Source organism: Homo sapiens, chromosome 5 (genome assembly GCF_000001405.40).
Source record: "Homo sapiens chromosome 5, GRCh38.p14 Primary Assembly".
NCBI classification, from domain to species: domain Eukaryota; kingdom Metazoa; phylum Chordata; class Mammalia; order Primates; family Hominidae; genus Homo; species Homo sapiens.
The window spans coordinates 112304189-112323507 of NC_000005.10; the positions used below are offsets into that span (position 1 = coordinate 112304189).

General features: G+C 38.1%; 1 protein-coding gene across 15 annotated transcripts in view; it reads right to left on the reverse strand.

Annotated features, from left to right (window-relative positions):
- The window catches only part of EPB41L4A (erythrocyte membrane protein band 4.1 like 4A), a 278107-nt gene that overhangs the window by 162360 nt on the left and 96428 nt on the right, over nucleotides 1–19319 (reverse strand). For all 15 annotated transcript variants that reach the window (XR_001742173.3, NR_144931.2, XM_011543531.4 and 12 more), the window contains one exon: nucleotides 3198–3302. Coding sequence is in view for 12 of the 15 variants with exons in the window: in XM_011543531.4 (XP_011541833.1) it covers nucleotides 3198–3302 (105 nt within the window). In the remaining 3 variants the exon portion in view is untranslated. The remainder of the gene's footprint in view (nucleotides 1–3197; nucleotides 3303–19319) is intronic.

The window sequence follows — 19319 nt, forward strand, 5'->3', positions numbered from 1 at the left end:
TTGACTTCTGAAGTAAAAGGGCAGCAGACCCAGGACCTAATTCTCAATGCCACGTTGATTTCCATATTCTGAGAAAAGCCCTAATTATATACAACTTCTGCCTTTCAAGGAGTAATCTGTAAAGGAGCCTCAGGTGCTAACATTAAAGTAAGACATAACTATAATTTCTGGGAATTTTCTGTAAGTCAAACCAAGGCCCTAATATGAGAGACCTACATCCCCAAACACACCAGTCTGGATCAAGAACGAACCTGACTGGCACAAGCCAGAGTGGAACAGAAAATAGGCTCTAGCCCAGGCTAAGCGCTTTCCCTTTCAAAACTAATCTTAAAACCAGAAGTAGTATTGAGATATCACATTTATATTTATTACTGCTTTCAGTATCAACAAAACTCATCTTCAAAAATCTCAAAGGTATTTAAGAATCTACAGTTTATTTAATTTTTTCTTTTCTTTCTTCCAGACTTTTTCCTTCTTCCTTCATTCCGCTGATATCACCAGCAATATTTTCTCCCATCCTAGTTTCAACAGGAAAGGCCTTTTACATGTTCAATGCCTTATCATCTACAAAGAGCTATCATGTGTTCTGATTTAGTCCTATATCAATCCTGACAGTTGAGGAGAAAAAGCATTTTATTGTCAATTTACGATAAGCATATCAAGATTCAGAAAAATTAAGTGATTTCACCATTTTTTAGGAGCAGACACAGGACTCAAACCTATCTTGTGACTCCCAAGGCAGCTATCCATTCCACCAGATCACAATCCATTTATAGTAACTTCTGAAAGCCTAGAAGATGGCTCAAGTTCCTTCCAGCCTCTAATTAATTTCAAAAACACCAGTTCCTTAAAGGGAAGACTGCGCTGCTGCAATTTCAATTATCTTGAAAGTCAGGATATTACAGTGTTTGAAAGGTCTTGGAGACACTCAGACTTGGGGTGGAATTCTGGTCCTAATACGTGCTGATTATGCGAACTTGGGAAAGATGCTTAACCTTCTTAGTTTGCGTTTCATCATCTCCAACAGAAAGATAATAATACTTTAGAGAACTTTTCTGAGCATACAATTTCAACAAACAAAAATATTTACAGTCGGTGGTGCACTGATGATGATGGTGGTAATAATGGAGAATGATGAGTTCCGGGGTTCTAGGTTCTCCTGGTCCTCCAGTGCAGACAACTTCTCTGCTATGTGAGGTCCCGAATGTACAGTAATTCAATCAACATTCATGAAAACCATTTGGTTTTTAAGACAAATGCTTCTAAATGGGAAACCATATTTGGTTTTTAAGACAATGATTTTTTAACCATACCCTGTACTATTTTCACACAGGGTTTTTTTTAAATCCTTATTTGTTTTAAGTAACTGTCAGATATGCAGGATTGCTTCTAATATACTTTTGATAAAACTGTTACCAAGATGAAGTACAAAATTTCATTACATTATTCTCAGAGCCTCCTACAATTAAAAGATAATCAGACAATACATGTGAACATGCAAAGACTAAGCAATGTTTACAAATCATCTCTATTTTAGCTGAGTTTACCATTAGAATATAACAAAAACAGGGAAAGAATACTTTTTTCATGTCATTTGCACACCTGATATTCTTATCACATCAAAACAATATGACTTAAGAGCTTTCTCCTAAATGTGTCATTTCTCCTAAAACCTGTATTATAAACACTATGATAAATGCCAAACCTTTAGGAGTAAAAGTAAGAGGAAAAAAATGTTCTTAATTTAAACCCTACAAAACTTTCAATAAACTAGCAACACTAACTGCTACAGTAGGGGCCATTGTTTTGAAATTCTCTAGCTTTTCACATTTTTCCTTTGCAAAGTTTAAAAAAGGTAAGGGGGAAGATAGAGACCGACAAGGTCTATATAACTTTAGCAAGACAGTCAATCTTTCCAGGCAAAGTCTGACATAGTAGATAAGATCAGAAAACTGTAGTTTTCTCTGCTAGGAAAAAAATGTTATTTCAAAAATATGAATGTAGCACATGACACCTTCTTTAGCCTTCAATTTAATCTTTCTGTATAGATTTACAGTACTGCTATATTTATTCATGGTCTGTACAAGATAGAATTCAGTGGACTTCTAAACATGTCTGTTCCCCTTTTTTGCAACATGCCATAATGACCACTAGCCTTTAGAAAGTTATTCCTTTCTATGCAAAGCTATCCAACATACCCAATTTTTCATTCCAACCTTATGAAATCCTCCTGTGAAACAGAAAAGATTAAGGAACCAGCTCAAGAAAAGTCACAAGTGATCACCATCAATAGTGGAAACACCACTCAGAAAATCATGTTCTTCACTGAATGTACCACAAATGACCCAGTGGAGGATGGGAGAACAAATGAAGGAAGAGGAGGACATCTCTATTTCAACAGCAGTTGAGTAGGATGAAAAATAAAAGGCAAGTCAAATAGGGTATTTCTGAGATAAGCATGTGAGCATTCTGCATAATGAGGCTGTGCCTATCTGAAGCTAAGATCTTTACTTTCTTAGACTAAACCAAAAGTCACATTAATAAATATCCTTTCGTCCTTCAAAATCTTCATCTCCAAAGTTTTTCCATTGTGGTGAATTTCTTAGTAACTCTCTACTCCGGACTGGAAGACCCTCTGAATTAACCTTTGTGAACAACTGACATAAGAACTAAAAGCTAAGTTGCCTTTATTACTCTTATTTCATCAGGTTCATGAACAAAAAAACCTCTACTTATTTTATTTTGTAACAGCTCATCTCACTTATAAAACTTAGGTAGTCACTTTTTTTTTTACACTGTTATTTCTTCTCTAACCATTCCCTTTCTTAAAAGGCAATTAATATCTCTCACCTCAAGAGACTAGCCACTTGCCTTCTAACACATATTAAACGACATATTCAGTCCTCCATGTTCACTCATGCTTTGCATTCACTATGATAAGGTTGCAAATCTGGAAACCACATATGCCATCTGCAAAGACGACTACACATGTACAGAAGCTGTGAATCCAGCAACTCTACAGACTTTTGGCAGAAGAGGAAAAAATGCAAAGAAATTATCAGGGGAAAACATGTTTGAGATTTTCAAAGTCTTTTTCAGTGACAAAGAACCTAACCACCTAAAACCATATCAGGAAAAGCCAGAGATAGAGTGAAATTTATAACCAGAAAAATTTAACACAAAGTCACCTTACTCACCGTCTGATGGCTTCTGTCACAGTAACGTAGCCCAAAATAATCTATCTCCACAAGGTTTACGTGATGGAATACGTGGTCAAGGACAACGGAACCTTTCGTTGACTTCTGCAAAAATAATTCAGTTTTATATTTTTTAACTGCCCTTTTGTTCCTAAGTAGTACACAGTCATGGTTCTCATCTTTTATTAGTTTCACTCACAATAGCAGCAATTGTATCAGACCATGGTTCTTCTCTGTAAGTTGTGCCTCAATTATGAAGAAAAAAACGTGATTTAAAGCAAAATGTATTATAGAAATTGCTTTGGAAAATACTTTTTAAATCGCAGTGGGTTTTAAATTAATATAAGCTTCTTTCTTCTGGGATTATAAATTATCTTCAGGACAAAATTCTTCTTTTAATAAAGATAATCTTTTATATGAAGAACATCTAATAAATGCATCAAAAAAACACTTTGTTTAAAAATCCCACCATTCCCTCATTTTAAAAAGCAATTTTCACCTATAGCATTACTCTCACAATGAATACAGAAGATATATAAAACTAACAATAGTCAAAGCTTTTATCTTCAATCCTCAAATAATAAACCCATAGATTAAAGCTGCTAAAGCTAATGTTCTGAAAAGCCCCTGTGAAGATATTTCACTTTATCTCTTTCACATAAGCACAGACACAAAACTTTTCTTTTGGCTGCTTTTTAAACACTGATAACTACCTAAAAAGCTAATCTCTTCTCTCCCCACCTACTACATATACAGATTCTTTAAATTAAGATTCTTATCATCTGACATACTAAAAATCAATTATTCACACATGTAAGAAACACTTGTATAGATACAGCCTCTTCCTTTCTCTCGCCCCATCTCTGGCTGGTATAATAAGATAATAAAAGAAATCCCACAACAAGTCTCACATTATGGTAATAAAGGAGGGCTTTTGTTCAGTTTCATCTTCCCTCAGAAAATTGCCAGGATGCGTTTATCCACATATGGTGAGCACTTAATACTGCACTGCTTTTAGAAAATGGATTGTTAACATGAGAGAAATGTTTTTATTAAATGTATTATAAAATGGGCAATATGAGGTTATAAAAGTACACACCAGGGTGTACACACCAAGAACTTTCTTCAAGTTCTTGTTACAAATTCCATAGGTATTTTGTTTTCCTCTAAATTACTTTGACTAACTTTAACTGGTTCCTTTTTCAAAATCCATTAAATAATTTATAAACAAAAAGCCCTTCCATGATGAATCTTTAGGTTACTGGACATTTTCTGCAATAATCACAATGCCACAGTGGCCTGTAAATGTCTCTGTGCTCATGTACCCATGTATTTCTCAGAGGTAAAAATCTTGAAGTGAAATTACTCATCTGAAGGATATGTATACTCATAATTACAGTGGGCACTGCCAAAAAGACCATTACAATTCATTTGATGAGAGTATATGTTTTCCCCGCACCCTTGCCAACATTTGGATTGCAAAACTTTTTTCCAATCTGATTGAGCAAAAAAAGAGGGGAATAAAGGAAATGTTTTAATTTACATTTTCCTGACATTAATAAAAGCAAGCACTCTTTCATGTGCTTACTAGTCAATTGCATTTCCTAGCCTTTGAGTTAGGCATTCCCTAACCCAAAGTTTATGAGCAAATTCTCCTAAGTACTTCTAAATACTTGTAGAATTTTACTTATACTTAGCTCTTCATTCCATCTGGAAATTATTTTTGTTCTTGGGATAAGGGCCCAACTTTGCTTCCAAATGGACAGACAACTGCACCACCATTTACCAAAAAAAGCCATCATTTCCCTGTTGATTTGAAACAACTTTATCATCTATTAAATGAATCCCCAGTATTCTATCTCATGGGTTACTCCAGAACCAATACCCCCAAGATTTTGATGTATGTAGTTTAATTTGTTTGATATCCATCTTTCTTTTTCAAAACTATCTTTGCTACTTCTTAAACATTTTTCTCTACTCAGGGACGTTAAGAACCAGCTACCCAATTGAATAAACAATTCTGCTGGGGATTTAACTGGAATTAAATTTAATTGACAGACCAGATGACGTGGTAGGTGGAGGTGTAGATACTAAGATATTTACAAAGTGAAACCTCTATATGGTTGTCTTTTATATCCTTCGAGGAAATTTTACACTTTTGATGTGGGTCTTACAAAATTCTATTTAGGCTTTGTGGCAAGCAAATTTACCAAATGCCCTCCCTCCCCCAAAGATGTCCTGCCCTGACCTCTGGAATCTGCATGATGAGAATACCACCCCTATAATTGTGTTATGCTATATGGCACAGTTGACGTTAAGATAGGGAGATCACTGAAGTGGGCCTAATCAAATGGGCTCTAAAAAGCACAGCACTTTCTCCAGCAGAAGGGAAAAGCAGGGGGAAAGTCAACTATATTCAAACCATGAGAAGGGTTCCACCCTTCCCTCTCACTTGAAAGATGAAGGGGGCTATCTGAGAAGAATGAGAACAGCTTCAGGACCTGAGGGGAGCCCCCAGCTAACAGCCAGCAAAGAGATGGGAACCTCAGTCCTACAACCACAAAAGCGGGATTCTGCCAACAGCCAACAAGGGTTTGGAAGTCGATTCTTCCCCATCATCCTCAGATAAGTGCTCAGCTGACTAACACCTTGATTTCATCCTTGTGGGGCCCTGCAGGGAAGCCAGCCATGACATCCTGGACTTGTGGCCTACAGAACTGTGAAATAATAAATGACTGTATGTTTAAACCACTGTGCTAGTGATAATTTGTTATGCAACAATAAAAAATAATACAGGCTGGTTCTTAGCTATTTTAGTTTTATTGCTGTTATACTTTCTGACTGTCTATTGCTAATGCATTGGAAAGCCAACTAATATTCCCTATCGGTCTTATTCCCAGCCGTCTTGCTAAATTCTTCTTAGTTTGTCTATGGAGTCTTCTCAGATAATCAGTTTTCAAAATGCTTTTTCAAAATGCTCCTCCACATTTATTTCTTCTTTTCTTACTGCATTGGCTGGGACCTCAATAAAAGAATAACTAGTAGTTTTGAGAACATGCACCCTGTCTTCATCCTGACTGTAATGGATTGCTTCTAAAATTTCACCACTAAGTATAATGGCTTGTGTATGGCCCGAACGCATATCCTTAATCAAATAGATGGTTCCTTCAATTCTGCTTTTTTTGGTCTTATTCTGTTTTGGCCTTTAATCAATGACTAACAGTTTTATCAAGTTCTTTTTGGGAATAAAAGATGAGTATATGATGTTTGTCCTTTCAGCTTTGAGTTACATTAAAAGAGTTTCTAATGCCAAATCTTCTTAGAGAAATTCCCGCTTTAGTCCTTTTTGTTCTGGGTACATATCAAACCTTCTGCTAATGTGCAAACAATCCCCCTATTTGAGTCTTGGTGGAGGCAGGAATCAGGCTCCCAGAATAACTGACAGCCAGGTCACAGGCATATGATCTGTGGTTTCAGCAAGGACTTTGACTTCTCAGCAAGAGTTTAGGATTAATTCACAGAGTAGCTCCCAAGAGTAAGGGAGTATCCAATAGCAAAGGCATCCAAAGATGGAATCAGCTGTGACAAGCAGTAGAAATGACTGATTCCTGAGTCAGATTTTCCAGCATTCTTATCTTTTTCCTGAGACAGGGTCTCACTCTGTTACCCAGGCTGGAATGCAGTGGTGTGATCTTGGCTCACTGCAACCTCCAAGTGATCCTCCCGCCTCAGCCTCCTGAGTAGCTGGGACTACAGGCATGCACCACCACACCCGGCTACAGCATTCTTGAGGTACAAAATAGGAACATTCAGGCAATCTACCACCTTCATTTTCTGAATATGTATGTTTGGCTCAAGAGGCAGGCCAGTATCCCAAGTAAAAATCCTGAGTAACAGTATAGAAAATTGGATCCAACTGTATACTAAAAATATCATGATGAATACAAAAAGCTTATCCTTTTTGTAAGTGCATCCTTGGTGTAAGTACATCAAGCAAGGATTCCTAAAATAAATTCTATCCAATGTAACTATGAAAAGAATTTACTGAAAAGATACTGAGTATCTCACAGGCTCTATAGATATCACACTAATGGTTTCCCAGAGCTTTTTATGATTCCCATCTATCTACAGCCACTAAGCTTGGAATACTCAGTCCATCACTACAACCTTTCGTAGTTCTTTTGCTCATGTTTTGGGCTGTGGTTTACACCTCCAATTGTTTCCCATTTGCCTTTCAGGAATTTTTCTTATCATTTCTGGTCCACTGAGACCAGATCGCACTGCTGCACCCCAGCCTGGGCGACAGAGTGAGTGAGACTCTGTCTCTTTGATCTAAAATTTTAGATCAAACTTTCTTACTTTCCAGGTTACTGTAGAAAGTGCACACACACCTTTCCTCTTACTTCAAAATATTTCTGGAATGCTGGCATATGAAGATAGTCTTCCATTTTGATCTAATCTCACTTATGGGTCCTTTCTCCCATCTAGGCACAGAGAGAAACAGATGGAATAACTAGAGCAGGTAGAGCCACACAACTCTACCTAATTCTTCTATCCCAAACAGGTAAACAAGAAGTGGTTCGTGAACAAAGAGGAAACAATTATGCCTGAAATTACGTATGACAATGAGAAGGTACAGATTTTAAAAATATGTAAATCAAATCTGTCTTTATGCAAACTATATTTGTGCTTCTGTGTCCAGCAGAAATGTTAGGGTTTTCAAATAAAGATAATAGATTTATAAAGCATAAAAAGGATCTAATATTCTACCCACAAAGATTATACACAAAAGCAAGCTCAGAAAACCAGCTCGGGAGTTTACAAAGTATACAGAAACTCTAAAATTTTCATGCAGAGGAAGAAATCATCAAATTTGAAAATTTTCCAAAATGATCATTCCCAAACTACCAGAACATGCCAATCTTTTGTGACAATTTTGCATTTATATAGAATCTGGTGCTGCAAATGCTTTGCAAATATTATCCTTTAGCATCTTTTGTTACCCTCTACCGAGAGGACACAAGGAAAGCATCCAGTGTTATGCAACAAATCCAGTGCTGACCATAAAAAAATATGACATCTCGTGATTCCCTCTATAGCTTTCTGTATAGTGCAGGTGTGTCTACACAGGCACCTGGAGCAGGGCCAGGAGAGTCTCAGAAATGCTGTATTTCTGTCACTACTTCAAGCAAATACACACATGAAAACCTCTTAACTTTTCATCTGTCATACTGTAATATGATAAGACTTAGAGAGCATGGATGCCAGAGGTAAATTAGCTATTGGGGTGGAGGTACATATCACCAGCTCACACTTCTGTCCATTCTGCCCTAACTGACCTCTTCCAATAACCCTTTGCCCAATCAGTATTCCATTGTTATGCCTCCTGCCCTTATACACATGGATAATTTCATTCTTCTTATGGGTACTTTGTAGAGACCACCTATGGGCCAATATTTTGCAGTTCAGGTGTAAAGTCTTCAGGTCCAGAAGAAATCATCTTTGAATAAAGAAATGAAGAACTGACAGAGAACTGACATAGAACCAAAGTGCAATTAAAGTATATTTGTCCAGGAAGGGGCCAGTCCTAGGATTTATTACAGGAAAAAAGGGTATTATGAAACACATGACTTCATTCATTGAAATATTTATTTATTTATTGCCTAATACCAGCAAATGCTTACTCTCTAGAAAATGGGAAAAGTACACTAATAAATGCCAGAAGAAAGGAGGATGATTATCTTTCAGAATTCCAGAATATAATGCAAAGTGATGTGATGCGGGAAGTCTTTGACCAGCCTATTAGAATCCCTGAGAAGCCCTAGGGCTATGAAGCGACTAAGAAACTTCTAAAAAGTGACTAAAAACTTTATTGAGAAAGTGAGACAGGGAGAGATTTGGTTATCATCAAAAGTCCTTTTGTAGGGTGGGCGCGGTGGCTCACGCCTGTAATCCCAGCACTTTGGGAGGCCGAGGCGGGTGGATCATGAGGTCAGGAGATTGAGACCATCCTGGCTAACACGGTGAAACCCCGTCTCTACTAAAAATACAAAAACTTAGCTGGGCGTAGTGGCGCGCGCCTGTAATCCCAGCTTCTCAGGAGGCTGAGGCAGAAGAATCGCTTGAACCCGGGAGGTGGAGGCTGCAGTAAGCCGAGATCATGCCATTGCACTGCAGCCTGGGCGACAGAGCGAGATTCCATCTCAAAAAACAAAAAAATCCTTTTGTGCCTTGGACTAGCAACCAGGCACACATATAACTTGCAATTCTTGAAAAGAAAAGGCAACCAGGCAGAAATTAGTCATTACCTTTTTTTGCTGTGGAGGCAGTTTGTTTGTCAATTTGGTTTATGCACCGAGAAGTGTTAGGTAAGGAATGCATAGAGGAATATAGTGATGAGCTGTTAATTTGTATACTATATTTACATATAAACAATTCATACTCCCCAACCGCTCCAAAAAAAGGTAACTTTCTTTTTTTTTTTTTTTTTTTTTTTGAGATGGAGTCTCACTGTGTCCCCTAGGCTGGAGTGCAGTGGCGCAATCTCCGCTCACTGCAAGCTCCGCCTCCCGGGTTCACGCCATTCTCCTGCCTCAGCCTCCGAAGTAGCTGGGACTACAGGTGCCCACCACCATGCCCGGCTAATTTGTATTTTTAGTAGACGGGGTTTCACCGTGTTAGCCAGGATGGTCTCAATCTCCTGACCTTGTGATCTGCCCGTCTCAGCCTCCCAAAGTGCTGGGATTATAGGCATGAGCCACCGCACCTGGCCACCGTGTAACTTTCTAATCTGAATTATTCCTGAGCCTTTTGAACAGGTAGACCAAACTATTACGGGCCATTATATACCAATGTGGAAGCTATGCACCCCCATTCCTTAACATGCTGAAAAGGGGCTTCATTTCTAAGTCAGATGGCTAGTTTCATTTGAAATTTAATGAAATCTTGATTCTTAACCTTACTTCTTTCAATACTTTGCAAAAGAAAAGATATGGAAGTCAGCCGGGCATGGTGGCTCATGCCTGTAATCCCAGCAATTTGGGACGTCGAGGCGGGTGGATCACCTGAGGTCAGGAGTTCGACACCTGCCTCACCAACAATGTGAAACCCCATCGCTACTAAAAAAAAAAAAAAAAAAAAAAAAAAAAAAAAAGAAAAGAAATTAGCCAAGCATGATGGCAGGCGCCTGTGGTCCCAGCTACTACAAGGTCAGGAGATTAAGACCATCCTGGCTAACATGGTGAAACCCTGTCTCTATTAAAAATACAAAAACTTAGCTGGGCATAGTGGCACGCGCCTGGGGAGGCTGAGACAGGAAAATTGCCTGAAGCCAGGAGGCGGAGGTTGCAGTGAGCCGAGACTGCGATACTGCACTCCAGCCTGGGTGACGGAGCAAGACTCCATCTCAAAAAAAAAAGAAAAAGACATGCAAATGATATTAATGCCATTCCAGTTTTCTTCTGACCATTTCCAGAAGAAACCTCTGCCAAAATGGGGAATTCACAAGATGCCACAAAATAAGGTACAATGATAACATGCCCAAGGACTTTCTGAAATCAATAAATAAATTAAAATTTTGTCTTCGATAATAATGGACCTCCACTAATGAGACATTTGAGAGAATGAACTGGGTAACACCCCAAATATCAGGGAGGGATATTTGGAAACCTGAAAGAAATGCTTCCCATTTCAGGTTTCAGGAGGTCTCCCTGGGATATCTTTCCTGCTCTATGTCATGGTCAAAATCCTACTTATCCTTCAAGATCCAGTTAAAATGCCACCTTCTTCATAAAGCCTGTCCAAATCCTCTCAATCTCATTATGACCTCTCCCTCCATTGAACCTACCAAGTTTCTTATTTTTGCCTGTCTCTGATACTTACACTCTTGCACTCTTAAGATGGCCATTTATTCCTTCTGTTAACTTTCCTACTTATGTTTAGACATTTGGAAAGCATGTGCTGAGTATCACACACCACTTACTTTCTATGCAGTCCAATAACTTATTCTCAGTAAGAGCTGCCTAAAAGTTCACTGAATTAATACCAAGGGCCAATAACATGGTGTCTATAAATTGAACCTTTCTTCCTGTTTCTTATGAAGATTTCCATTTTTCTTGACCAATCAGACTTATGAAATTAAAGAAAAAGCTGACCAGATCCATGTATTTTGTTATATCACCTGATACACAGAGATTCAGTTTACTTTTAACTTTAAAATACACATTTGTTTCAGTGACATATAATTCCAATAGACTCAATATATTCTAAAGGTAGCATAAGGAATAAATATCTTATATTTAAAATGGCTAAAACACCAAAAACTGAGGAAGCCATATATTACATTTTTATACCTAAAACTTGCATAGAAATTTTTATGCAATAAAAATAAAGATTATGCAAAAAAAATCTGACAGAAATTTGATTTTCCATCATCAAAAAAATAAAGAAGACTTGATATGAGACAGTTAAGAAAATAAAAATAAAGGGAGCACCTGATTTTTTATAACTAATCAGCAAAACTTCATCTCAATGTAACAATATATTAATTTACTTTTAAAATGAGAGTAAATGCCTATTACATATTTCTGGATTGTGAATTGTATTCCACTTAACTCTTAGCAAATGAGATAGATTACTTTCATTACTGACATACTAGCAACATTCCAGAAAGAATAGAGCTACAAAAGGCTTATAATCGTAGAGAAAGACTCACTAGTAGGACAAGTTTATTTGAAAATACCATCAATGGAGCTTTCAACCAGAACAAAGAATATTTCAAATGAGTAATAACACCTTTGCAGATTAACATGACATTACAAACCAGAAAGGCAGGTTCCTGCCAGCTTCACAGAATGATAACTATTACATCTGAGACAAACAGCTTACTCCTTCACAAAGGGGAAATGAACTCTGCAAAAAATTCTTATAACGTTATGCCTTTAAAAATTCACTCTATCTTTATTTAGTATTTTGACCACAATACATTCCTAGTTCTCTGGGAAAACTTAAAATTACATTAATTTTTTTAGCTTAGGCCATTACGATAAGGCAAAGTGGGCGCACGGAGGAGACATTCTTCAGGTACCAAAGGTAACTCCTTCCCAGGGGAGGCACTGTTCACCCCCATTGTCTGGCCCCCATTGTTTATGTCTAAGAGTTACCCTCACCCTCCAGATGAGGAAAATCCTCATTTAATCATTAAAAAATGAGTAAAATGTATTTTTCTAGGTGCAATTAATATTTATATTTTTCATATATAAAAGTTTCTTCACACTGATAAGCTTTTCTCAGCTATCTATTGCTTTGTAACAAGTAACTTCAAAACTCAGTGGCTTAAAGCAACAAGTTGCCTATAATTCTAAAATTTAGCCAGGGCTCAGAAGAGACAGCTGGTATCAGCTCCATCTGGTGTTGGCTGGAGAGGTCTACCTGGGCTGAAGAACCCAGGATGGCTTCATTCACATATTGACACCTCACCTGAGATGGCTGGAATGGCTGGAAGCTGGCTGGGCCACTCACCCTCTAAGCAAGGTAATCTGACTTCGTGACATGGTGACTTAGGGCTCCAAGAGACAAACAGGGGAAGCTGCCAAGTTTCTGAAGGCCCAGATCTGGCACAGCATCAGTCTTGCTACACTCTATTGATCAAAGCAAGTCACTGAGTCAGTGCACATGGAAAGGGAGCAAAAACAGATCCCATCTCTTGATAGGAGGAATGACATGAACATATAGTGAGCGACTGGAAGAATCACAGGTGGCCATCTTTGTTGACAACCTACCACATCTTTTTTTTCTCTCTAAACTTGTTATATGCTTTATGTTTTTCTTCACTCATCTCTGTAATATTTCAAATTAGAGCAAAAGAAAGAATGACAGTAAATCATCTTGATCATCTATATAAAAAGAACTATGCTAGATGATTTCTTGTACTTTGTTTCATTTAATCTCTACAAGAGCTATGCAAACTTGTCATTTTTTATTCCTGCTTTATAAATAAGCTCAAAAAGGTTGGGAAAGAATAGCAGTTTGGCTAGAGTAACACAGAAAGAAAGGGAAAAGGCAGAGACTCCAACCCAGAAATATCTAACTTAAAATCCTGAGCTCCTTCTAATACAGCAGTGATTCTTGAAGGCTGGAGGGCCTAGAGACCCTTTCAATGGTGCATGAAGTCAGATCTATATTCCTAATGTTATTAGTTTGTTATTTTTCATTTGCCCTTCTCTCACAATCATAGAGTTTTCTAGCGGTCACAGGGCATATCACAACAGATGATGCATAAAGTAGCTATGACAATCCAGCTACTTTCTGTTAAGCTAGATATCATAGTTGCAAAAATGTAAAAACAAGGTCATTCTTCTAAAATTGTTATGTTTTGGACAATACATCTTTTTTGTAAAAATATAAAACTATTTTTGTTGACAAGTAATTTTTTAAATAGGTTTTTTGGATGATTTCAAAAATCTCTCCACTTAATGGTAAACAGATACAGAGATAACCCATATGAACAAAAGTTCTTCCAGGTCCTCAATAATTTTAGAGTGTAAGGGGCTCCTAAGACTGAAAAGCTTGAGAATTACTCTACTATACTAAAAAACAAAGGAATGTCCTTGATGACATAGATTGCAAAATAGGCAATTCTGATTCTTAGATACCTGGAAAGCCAGTCTTTCCTCATTTTATAGATGAGGAAACTCAGAGCCGAGAGATGAGTGACTTGCCCACAGGTCACAGGGCTGGCTAACTAAAAATCTAGAAATAGAATCAATGCAGCATCATTGCCACTAACCAAGCACTTGCCTTCTCTTTTTTTCCTACCAATTTTGATAGGAGTTCACAAAAATCCTGTCAGCAACAAAATAAAACCAAAAGAAAAAAACAAAGCAGTCCACAAGGAAGGTCAGAGATTAAATAATGTGTAATGGCATTCTTTGGCAACAGAAATCAGAATTCCCAGAGTAGAGAGCTATTTTCAAGACTAATTTAAAGGATATTCTTTGGTTTCATCACTGTCTAGGATCCCTGAGCCACCATGAAAGAAGTCTAACTACTCTGCTGGAGAAACCATGTGGAGAGACCTTGAGAATACATAAGAAGTTGGACTCAAGCCCAACCTTTCAGACGCCCTTCTAAGGCATCAGGCCTGTGAATGAACACATTTTTGGCCCTCCAGATCACTCCAACTGCCTAATCAATACCAACGAGTGTTCACAGTCAACATCACATGGAGAGAAGTTGCCCAGCCAAGCCTTGCTCACTGTCCTGACCAACAAGTCATAAGATATAATAGCTGCTGTTTCAAGCCACTAAATGTTGGGTAGTTTGTTACAGAGCTACACAACCACAGATAACCAGACTAAGACTCAAATGTTCTCAGCCCAGAAATATGGACTCTCACAAAGAAGAGTTAAAGCAGATACCAAACATTAGTAATTCCTGTCTTCCTACCTGTTTCAAGATAGGTAACATACGTATGTTACACAGAAAAACCTCAAGAATTTCCAGTTAAATGCTATTTCATACTCCCCTTCAATCTCCCTATACTGTAACCCTTCCTTCAACCCTTGTTTATGGGTTACCATGAAGCACGTCCCCAGGTATTGTCACATTAGCTTGTTATAGGAAACAGAGCAACAACACCTCAATAGCAATGACCACATCTGGTACCCACATCTTTGGTTTCTAAATATCATTCTCCACTCCTTGGAAAACAGACTGATTCCAAGGCTGAGACAGGAAAGTACAAGGCCTGAAATAACTTACTGCACCAAAAATGGAAACAGTGTTCAAATAATGATGGAGGCATTTCAAAAGAACATTTCAAAAGCTAGGAGCCAGCTTGACAGGACTCTCGCTAATCAAATTTGGGACAATCTGAACAACAACAAAAAAAATGATAGTGTCAGATTACAACCCCTATGAGAAAAATCTATGAGTCCAAGTGAATATAAATACATGTGTGAATAAATAAAAAGAAGAGAAATGTGTCCTTACAATAAAATGCCAACTAATAAATGTAGAAGGAATGACAGAATAAGAAAACTACCATCATTAAGTACAACTGATTTGGTCAAGAATCATCAGTGGATGCTAAAATGAGTACATTAGGGTCAAAGGCAGAATAGAATTTACACATGAAAGGATGAACCAACAACAGCAAAAAATACAGAATCACTTCTAAGTTTTTCCTGCTAAAAAATAGATAAGATGAAATTAATAATGAAGAAGCATCAGACAAGCCGAAATTGAGGGACATTGTGCAAAATACCTGGCCTATTCTCTTCAAAAATAGTATGGTTATCAAAGTATCAAGTAACTGTTCTACAATGAAGGAGACTTTTAAAACATAAGAAAATGCAATAAATAATTCTAGATTGGATTATTTTGCTCAAAGGACAACCAACATTTGCCTGGGGTCCGTGGATTAGATGAGTGTGCTTTGCCTCCTTCCCTGATGTTGAATAGTTCTGCCATGATGATGTACTAGAGGATCCTTTTGGGGTATTATGTATTAAAGCATTTAGGGGTAACCAGTCTCGTGTTTTCAATTTACTCACAAGTAGTTCAATAAGAGAAAAAAATCATCATAAAGCCTATGTGGTAAAACGTAAGCAACTGCATCTGTGAGTGAAGGATCTAAAGAGTTGTTTGTATTATGATTACAGCTCTTCTGTTAAGCTTGAAATTATTTCAAAAGTTAAATGAAATCACTTATCCTCTCCTATTCAAGGCACTTGAGAAGTTCCGGGCCTTGCTCATTCTTCCACCCAATAGAACTCTCTTGGTCACCCTGCATCTTGCTCTCTTCTTTCCATCCTGCCCAACTCTCTCAGTCCTTTCATCCCTTTTTCAGAGACCAGTGAAGGAAGAAAGCTGTGTGAGAAAAGAGGAAGGAGAAGGCTGTGACCCACTCTATAGCAGTCATCTGCATTCCATCATACAACATAATCCAGGATTCTGCTGCAAGTATGGGTTTTATGATACATTATAACTTTCCCCCTTAACACAAAAGCCCTCTAAAGTGACCCAAGAAACATTTCACTGAAGTCATTTTAACATTTATAACCATTCTTACTTTTGTTATCACTAAAGTGTTCTACAAAAGGGTAATTCTTTAAAATTGCAGTAACAGTGGGGCAGGGGATTGGCTTATGTCCTCCTGTTAACAGCCTGTTTCCGATTCTACAAGAATAGCCTGGGAACTTAAGTTATCCCACATGAGAGATAAAAGCTCTGGAGATAGAGAGGTTGAAGGGGAGTATGGACAAAACAAGCTACTTTCTCATTATTTATTTCCACTGACGTATTTAAGACAGAGGTCACAAACAGAAGCCCACTTTTTATTCAGTGGCCTACGTAGTGATGGGAAGATCAGGAAATGTTATATTCTGCCTCTTCCAGCAACCCAAAGCACATGGCAAAAATCAGCAGGAACATCCCTGCAGCTTCCCTGCTAAGTGGGAAATGGGCTCTCCAGCTTACAGGTGTCTTCCACTCCCTGTGGTCTAAAACTCTGCTACTTCATTCATTTAAGGGAACTCCCCAACCCATGAATGTGTCTGAGTTGGCGCCCCCACTGTGAGGGGCCAAAAGTAAATGACTTCAAGTTTCCTGAAAGGTTGAAAGAAAGGGTCGTGAGATTACAGGCCATCGAGACTTCAGGGTGTTCATATCTTGCCTGGTCAGATGACAGTATGTAGGAAATTCATAATTATGAGCCGGTTTACATCAGGATGCTAGATGGAGAGGCAATTCTAAAAGCTTGGGATCACAGAGGAGAGAACACGACAAGAGTCAGAGAAGCTACAAGAGGAGAGATGTTGCCAGATCAGGACTGGAAGACCAATGGGCATTGGGGTTGGGGTAGAAGTGAAAAGGCCACAAGAAAATGACATTCGCAAGATATATTCCTGACCTGCTTTTCTTCTCACCTTTCCTGCAGTAACACAATGACCAAGGTGAGCATTCTGTGCAAAGGATGCATTCCTTAAGACATTTCATAATCCGGTACTTATTTCCCCACAGGAATCACAGGAAAGCAGAGGGATGCTCTTTTAGGGCACACAAATCTGCAACTGCCTTAATACTGCTTTATTTGATGGAAAAACATACTGCATTATTATGTACATTATTTGGCAAAATGCTCTCTCCTAAATTAATAACAGCATAGCTTATTACCATGGCAGTTGCTGAGCTATTTTAATAATGTTTATGACATCTAACTTCTGCTTCAAGTTACTCATTTGGGGAGCATTTCTGCCCTGGTCTTAATGTACCACAACCAAAAGAATACTGAGAGAATACTTTTTTCCCAAATAAAAAGGGCTTTTTAAAATATAATAGTAAATGTTCAAATAATAGCATAGTAGATGCCAAAATTTGCTGCAAAAGTTCCAATGCATAGGTGTATTTAACCTATACTAACTGAAGATGGTGCATACTACTTTTTGCCAGGCAAAGCAGCCCCATGATGTGGCTGTGGCAGAAACACTGTTTATAACTCAGCCTCCCACCTTTAAACCTGTGTAATTTTTGAAAAAATTTCTTTAACCTGGGGGAAATTCTAAGTTTAAAAGATAAAGGGAGGCTTCATTAACATTTTTATGTCATAGTTCAACATTACATAAGTCATAATCAGATAAAATAATAAAACCAGTAACAATAACATCTATCAGCACATATTATACTTTACGTGTACTAACTCATTTAATTCTCAGAGCAGCCCCCTGAGTTAGAGATAAGAATAACAGCTAAATACTATTTGTGTGTGGCAGGCACTGTTATAATAGCACTGCATCTTCTCATAAATGTGAAACTTATTTAACCATGATAGCAATTCAAGGAAGAAGGTATTATTTTCCTCATTTTAGAGACAAGATCATTGGAAACCATAGGCTAACTTAGCCAAGAATACGCATACAGAGCCAGGATTAAAATCCAGACTAGCTCTAGAACCTGTGCTCTAACATGCACTCATATTTTACTGGGAGAACTAAAGTTTGAGTATGAGGCCAAAGCTCTATCAAAACTGCTACTAAGGAGAGCACTCTCAAATTCTCTGTGTCAGAGCTAAAGGACCCACCTGGGTAAACCACAGATTTTAAAGTTCCCTAAAGTGCCCTAGCCAGAAATCTAAGTCGGTTCTACTTAGGAAGGCACTGGGGTTGATGCTTGGAAGAACTGTCTAATCCTACCGACCCCAGCAGACCTCAAAGGTCACTGTGCCGGTGAGCCAAACTGCTCTTGAGAACCAAGCCTCCTCCCCATACCTCAGCTGATGGGTCCCAGTTTGACGGCTTATAGCCATCCACTATGAGACACACACACACACACACACACACACACTCACACACACACCCCACACACACACACCTGTCTTCCACTACTTGATGTTTTGCCACTGCTCCAGAGTGCTCTTAGCCTGCCTGATAAATAGGAACCCATCAAAGACAAAGAAAAATAACAACCCATGTAAGGGGTCTCCGCAACTTGAATGAGAGAGACCAAGATGAATAACCAGAACAAATAGGGCCTATGAAAAAGACAGAAGAAGGTAAAGGGGGAAAGGTAATGGGGACTTTCAAGAAGATACAATTAGAAGACAAGAAAGGCTTTCTAAAGCTATTTGATTTCTGAAATTAAAGTTTCAATAGACAAGATGAAAAAAGTATAGTCGTTGCCAAGAATCCATTCAGAGTTCTGAAAGATCAAACAAACATTGTAGGTAAAAATATCAGAGATGTGGAAGATGTAACCAGAAGACAAAACATGCAGATAACAGGCTTTCCTGGAGGACAGACAACAACAAATAAGACATAACTGGAAAGGAGGGAAGAGGGAAGGAGGGACAAAATAAAAGAAAACCTCCCTGAGATGAAAGAAGGGATAATTCTCTAGACTGAAAGGGCTCCCAGCAAGCTTAGGCAGCAATAAGAAAAGACACATGCCTAGGCTTGGTAAAATATTTAAACTGAGAACCCAAATTATCTGTAACCACACATCTTACTATCTATACTAGCATGACTTTACTACTCAACTGTCTACATTAACATGACTTCACTATTTAAGGGAACTCTGACCCAAGAAGATGAAGTTACAAATAACTTTACTGTTTCTTACAGAACT